Source organism: Homo sapiens, chromosome 6 (assembly GCF_000001405.40).
Source record: "Homo sapiens chromosome 6, GRCh38.p14 Primary Assembly".
NCBI lineage: Eukaryota > Metazoa > Chordata > Mammalia > Primates > Hominidae > Homo > Homo sapiens.
This window is the reverse complement of record NC_000006.12, coordinates 74,870,015-74,877,199: the sequence shown is the minus strand read 5'-3', so window position 1 is coordinate 74,877,199 and position 7,185 is coordinate 74,870,015. Positions and strand designations below refer to the sequence as shown.

Genomic DNA, 7,185 nt, shown 5'->3' with positions numbered 1-7,185 from the left:
AATACTATCAGATGCCTGGAAAGAAGACTGGAATGTTTGTGAATGGTCCTAATTAGTTGTAGCTTGTAACATTTTAATTTGCCCATGTGTGGTGCAGATGTGAGATATACAAGGATGTTTTAACAATTCTGATATTTCTCTAAGCCTGCTTCTTCCATAGTATTCCCAATCTACTTAATAGCAATTCCATTTGTTAAATTATTTGATCAAAAATTGTGTGTCTTTCACAATTATCTTTTTATCGCACCCAGCATTCACTAGAATACCAATCCTATTGGTTTTACCTTCAAAATATATCCATCATTTTATTGCCACTTCTTACTACCTTCATCCCTACTACCCAGATCTAAACTACTATTATTGTTAATCTTCTATCTGGTTGCCCAATTTCTGCACTTTAATCCTGTGTAATTATTAACATATTCATCATATTAATGCTTTCAATGCATAAAACGTATAACTTCTTTGCTCAAAACTCTCCAAAAATATCACATTTTACTGCATGACCCAGCACCTTCCAAATTCTTCTGTCCCTCTCAAGTCCTTCTCTTCTACGTTCCCTTGCTCACTCTACTCCAGCTGCATTATTTTCCTTACAGCCCCTTAAACATACAATCACTTGCTGTTCATTTTCTTCTCCAAGAGATCTAGTAACTTACTCTCTCACCTCTTTCAGGTGTCCGCTCCTTTGTCAATGAAACCTTTGCCAACCAACGCATTAAAATATCCACACCTCCAACACCCTCTCCCCGCTTTCTGCTTTGCTCTGCATTCGTAGCAATTATCACCATCTAATGTATTTTTACTTATTTATTTGATCATCTCTATCCACTAGAATGTTAAACCCAGTGGAGAAAGAGGGCTTGTTTCTTTTACCTTTTCTCTCTCCCTTCCTCCTCCTTGTTCTTCTTACTTATTTTTTTTTCAAAAAAGTATTTTTATATTGCTGTATCTCTAGTACCTGAAACAGAAGAACAGTGCCTGGAGCATAGTAAGTACTCAGGAAAGTTTGTCAAATACATGAATAGAATATTAGAGCATGAAACATGAAACCTGACTGAATAATCACACAGCAATTGTCATAAATGGTGAAAGTGACATTTCATATTGGTGAAGAAAAGAAGGATTTGCCATAATGAGTAGTTATCTAGAAAAACATAAATTTGGATTTCTTCAAAAGTTGCGGCTCACTCCAAAATAGATTGCAGATATATACAAGATTTAAATTTTTGAAAAATTATAAAATACTAAAATAAATAATTGGAATATGGGAAAGTATTTATGAGTGTGGTATAATATCTGGAAACTATAAAATAAAGGATTGATATATCCAGTTTATCAATTAGAATGTATGCAATTCAATTGCAAATCACTTAAAAAAATTGTGTATGGCAAATATACCATAAAAAATCGAAACAAGTAAATACGAGAACAAAAATGTTTCAGACTTATAAGACAGACAAATAGTTAACTTTCTTGCTATATGATATAACCGCTTCTTCCAAATCAAGACAAAAGGAAAAAGAAAAACCCAAACAATGAAATGCACAAGGAATATGACCAGAGAGAAAAAGAAATGGGTCTTAAACATATTTTAAAAATCACAATCTCACTGCTAATACTGCAAAAAAGCAAATTAGAACTGCAATGAGATACAATTTTTAAAAACATATTATTGGCAGAAGTAACTTGTTTTTAAACATCTGGTGTTTGACAAATAGGATAAAATTATAGTTCTAGGAGAAAGGATAAACACCAGATTTAAAAGAAAATCTATCGTAGTCTATAAATACAAATAAAATTGCATCACAAATTTGTTAAGCACTTTCTGTTAACACTTTATTTTCCCAGGAAATGCTGATATTCTTTAAAATGTTCTGAGATTCTCTGCATAAGAAGAAGAAATGATGACGCCCATTCCATTAGTCTGATTGGAATGGGTGCTGAGTCAATGAAGAGTTTTCTTTGGATTCTTGATATTTTATGGAAAGATCATTGAGAAGATTTTGTTTTGTTTCTTACAAGGAAACATATTTAGTGAGAGAAAAACCTTGTTTAGCTTGTTCTTAACAGATAGCGGGATTATCAGGATCATACCATTATGCAAACCATACATATAAGAGTAATAGGCCGGGCACGGTGGCTCACGCCTGTAATCCCAGCACTTTGGAAGGCCGAGGGGGCCGGATCACGAGGTCAGGAGATTGAGACCATCCTGGCTAACATGGTGAAACCCCGTCTCTACTAAAAATACAAAAAATTAGCCGAGCGCGGTGGCGGGCACCTGTAGTCTCAGCTACTCGTGAGGCTGAGGCAGGAGAATGGCGTGAACCTGGGAGGCGCAGCTTGCAGTGAGCCCAGATAGCGCCACTGCAGTCCGGCCTGGGCAAAACAGCGAGACTCCGTCTCAAAAAAAAAAAAAAAAAAAAAAAAAGAGTAAAAAATGAGTAATAGAGCTGCCTATTCAATGCTGGGGACCCATCAAAGGTGGGTGGATTCTCCATAGGCAGCATGGCTGTTATGCTTTATTCTTGTTCCTAACACCTCTATACTAGTGCCTTTTTGCTGGCAGAATTCTTGACATTGATTTATCTTACTGTCTGTGGCAGTTGAGCAGAGCTTTTGCTCAAATGAAAAGGCAACAAATTAATGCGCTATTTCTTCTTGGATGTCGTCTTCCCACAGAGGTCTCTCGCACCCTCTCAGTCTGGCCATGTTTTCCCTAGGCACTAGAATTGGAAGTACTTTCTGTTAGGCAGGACTGGATTTTCAGTAAGGCCAGTAGGAGGATATATAGAAAGAACAGGCTGTGGGGGCAGTGAAGCTGTTTCTAAAATCTTGCCTTGAGGCTCAGAACATAAACCTAAACTACTAGTAGGAAGCCATAAATCCTTCATTTCAGTGAAAGGATTGTAATATACTTTTTACAGCTCACAAGGAGGTTAACAGAAAAACATTTATCTTGTCTAACCTTGTAAAATTGTTCCAGAAACAGACTAGAAGGGGACAAAAATGATGGGAAAGCACCAACTACGAAGTCACTGTTCATAGAGGCAGCCCTCTGTAGGAGGGAGCTATGCATCCACACAAAAATGCTTTCATGGTCTGGCTCCATTTCTTTGGCTTGGATGGGAGGCCAGATTCAAGGACTTCCTTCAGGGAGATCTGCTTGCGATTTCAGTTACCCTGGGCCCCACTTCACTACAGTTATATTTTTCTGTCTCTGATAATGATGATCCGTAAACAGTTACGGCCTCTTTGTGGCAACCCAGATGTGAATTATACACTATGATGCAGAGAGAATTAAAAAAAAAAATCTGGCCCAGTATTTTCTTTGTGACATTTAGAATTCCTTTGAGAGGAATTTTCCAACTTAAAGGTCTTTTTTTTCCTCTCATAAGTATTTTATAAATCTTGCAGAATGATTAATCATTCTAAATAAAACATTAACTACTCAGTGTCTAAATAAGGTATTTGAAAGGCAAAAAGGTCTTTGTCTCTTCATGAAATAAAACATTTCTAACAATTTGTTAGATGAAAGGATACTGATGTTCTTAGGTTGAAATGTGTCAAAAAATTTGAGAAGATAGGGATGCAACTTATTTACCTGGTGACCTGGCTGTATTACTGCTCTGCATTTATGTTTTGTTAAATGATTTGTAGCATATTGAGCCTGGGAGGCCTTAGCCCTGTTCCAATGCATTCCATTATATTTTCACTGCTAACATAATTACAGACATCTACAGCATATCAAGTATATATAAAAATGAATCATTCTATTTCTGCTGGCTTAAAAAGCTTCTCAAAAGAAAGAGAGAGAAAAAAGGAATGTGTCTGTTAATAAGGCTCCCCTCCTTCCTCCCTTCAGTTTCCTGGTATAGGGTATTTCCTTAGCTACTATGACATTACCTTCTTTATTTCTTTCTCATTTCCAGGTTTAGTGAATAATAAACTTCCAAACTTCCTTCCTTCACAACCACTGACCATGACTAACTCTTTGTGAAAGAACTCTGAACACTATAAGGTACTGTAGTAATGTTAAGTAAACTTTGCCATAGGAAGAAAAAGGAAAAGTAATAGAAATAAAATGATAGAAGTAAAAAAGAGAAAAAAGGCATAAATAGAGAAAAGTTTAATTATGTAGTGATAATTAAGGGAGAGACAAAATATAAGGTAAGTATTGTTCAGAGATAAGACAATTATGATTCCAGTGATCCCTGATTCAAATATTAACATAATTTTGATGAGTGGGCAAAAATATGAGATGACTAGAAAATGGAACAGATACTCTGTCCTTTTAATTACCATTTTCTTTATATGACTTGGGAATCCAATAATTTGGCTAACTTAACCTAGTAGTTCTCAACTGAGTTGTCTTGCCTTCCCCAGGGGGGATATTTTTCAATGTCTGGAGACATTTTTGGTTGTCACAGATAGGGGGAGGTGTGTTACTTGTGTCTAATGAGTAAAGGCCAGGGATGGTGAGGAACATCCTCTAGCACACAGGACAGCCCCATGTCTTCACAACAAGAATTATCTGACCCCAAAGGTCAAAAATGTTGATGTTGAGAAATCTTCGCTTAATCCAATCATTTTTAAAACCAAAATGATGGGTTTTAAAACCCCAAATAAGCAAACAAACATAAAAACTGAGCCTCATATAATCTTCAGTCATTCCTTCTTTTTGGTCTGTTCTGTGGTCTAGTACTATTGAACTATCCAGAGCCCCACTACATGGAACTTTATGATCCTGTACTTTAGTACTTTTTTTTTTCTTTTTCCTTTCCACATTTAAGGATCTTCAAGACTCTTCTTACATATTACCTCTCCTGTGAGAGATTTTCTGTGCCATTGCCTCTATAAGACTGTCTCTTAGGAAAGGTGAACTATATTCTAAACAACCAGTGTCTATGCCTTTACTATGTACTCACTGTATTAGTCTGTTTTTATGCTACTGATAAAGACATACCCAAGACTGGGAAGAAAAAGAGATTTAATTGGACTTACTGTTCCACATGGCTGAGGAGGCCTCAGAATCATGGTGGGAGGCAAAAGGTGCCTCTTACATGGCAGGGGCAAGAGAAAATGAGGAAGAAGCAAAAGTGGAAACCCATCAGATGTTATGAGACTTATTCACTATCACAAGAATAGCAGGAGAAAGACCGGCCCCATGATTCAATTACCTTCCCCTGGGTCCCTCCCACAACATGTGGAAATACTGGGAGATACAATTCAAGTTGAGATTTGGGTGGGAATACAGCCAAACCACATCACTCACATTCTATTATTTGTTCACATGTAACCACCTTCCCCAGACTATGAGTGCTTGAGGGCTCTTTCCTGGATATTTCTTGTGTTTCTCAAACTCAACCTCATCAAAACCATTTATTTCTCTTTCTAACTCATTTCTTTTTGCAAATGCCCAGTATTAAGATAAATATACAAATGAGGATCATTGTACACCTTTATTGTTTCTCAAATGATGAAACTCTAAATCCCTTTTAAATTCCTCCTTCTCATTTCCATGACCACTGCTTTAGTTCAGAAATCTATCTCATCATTCTGTTGCTTCCAGAATTTTTTTAAATGTAACTCTCTCCTGTCCCCTGGTTAAACTGCTCAATGGTTCAATGGCTCTTCATTGTTGGTAAATAAAATCCATACTCTCTATACTGATAATATAGAAACCTTCATAGTATTATTCCATGATATTATCTCCCCAGCCTTATCTCATCTCACACCTACATATGAGCTCCCAGCACACCAATTTGTGGTTTCTGAAAGTACTATGCTTTGTCCAGTGCTTTTATCTGTTTTGTTTCCTTGCCTAAGATCACCTTATGTCCCAATCCCTTTTGTCATTCACCCACTGCCATCCACCACACATATCTCTCCCGAAAGTATCACTTTTCTCTTCAGGATGAATTGATGTCCCTTTTCTGAGTTCCCAGCTCTTTCTGCTTGTATTTCTAGCACAGCTCATTTTTCCTAGTATTGTCTGTCATCCCTATTACACTGTGACTTATTTAAGGAAGGAGAATGCATGATATCTCTGTCTTCCTATTGCCTATCACAGTACTTATTACAGAAGAGTCAGTAAACATAAAGCCTTTTGTGTGGAAGGTAATCAGTAAATACATATTCAGTTAAGCTGAATCTCAAAGGAAGAGTCCATTGGAAATACATCTGGAGGTGTTGTGGTTGTAACATCTTCAGGTGTCTTTCGTGTATGAATGTCATTTAGTGGAACAAAAACTCAAATTGTCTCTCCAAAGTGTGAAGCTCCAGTCTCTTGGTTTGTCTGCCATACTGACTTCTGCTAATCTTCATTCCTATGCTATCATTTAGACCTTATTTAACAATTCAAACTCACAAAGATACCATTCAATTACTTTGTTGAGTGGAATTTAGTTTGGGCTTTAGAAAAGTATCCTAACTCTTTCCAGCCACAGGTTATCATTTAGTCAGAGTATTGTGGTAGCAGTGGTTGGAGAATGAATGTGGAGGTGATGGTGGTCTATGACGGTATTGCAGGAAGCACATAAATGGCAGGAGCAAAGTCCAAGTACACAATGTGAGGGAAAGGAAACTGGGTGTTAGGTGAGGTCCAACAATGAGATAATCCAAGTAGCATTTCCAGCTCTCAGCTACTACAGGAATTTTGAAGATTTAAAAATAGATATAATATGTTCCTTGTTGCATTCCCAGACGTGGAAGGGCTCTTCTGTCACATTCTCAGACTCTGTGGGTCCTACAAGACATATAAAATAGGGAATGGGTGTTTAAGTCTGGACAAAACGGAGGCACAAATTAACATTCCACATTCCAATAGGAAAAAGAAAAACCTCGAAACAAAATCACACCACTCTATATCCTTGCAGACATAGCTGAGGTTAATGTTAAAAGTGTTAAATCAGCTCTGTTTTTTTTTTTTTTTTTCCTCTTTCTGAGAAATGTACTGGGGGAAAGGAGGAAATAAGGTTTAGGGGGGTGAATACATGACTATGTATAACTACAGTTTATATTTTATAGAAAAATATAGAATGTAGAAGTCTTTCTGGAAAAAAAATGCTGAAAATTGAATTATTATAAATTTTGAATGCAGGTACATTGTATCAAAATGAAAGTCAAGTAGTTCACCACCCAAAAAGCATTCATCATGCTTTTTGTTGATGCTAAATGTTG

The 7,185-nt window shown here is 36.7% G+C and overlaps 1 annotated feature.

The window, feature by feature from the left end:
- Window positions 3,753-4,047: a silencer, noted in NCBI's record as "tiled region #6905; HepG2 Repressive non-DNase unmatched - State 24:Quies". NCBI's record gives its function as "represses a minimal TATA promoter and a strong SV40 promoter by Sharpr-MPRA in HepG2 cells {active_cell/tissue: HepG2}" and the evidence as "EXISTENCE:reporter gene assay evidence [ECO:0000049][PMID:27701403]".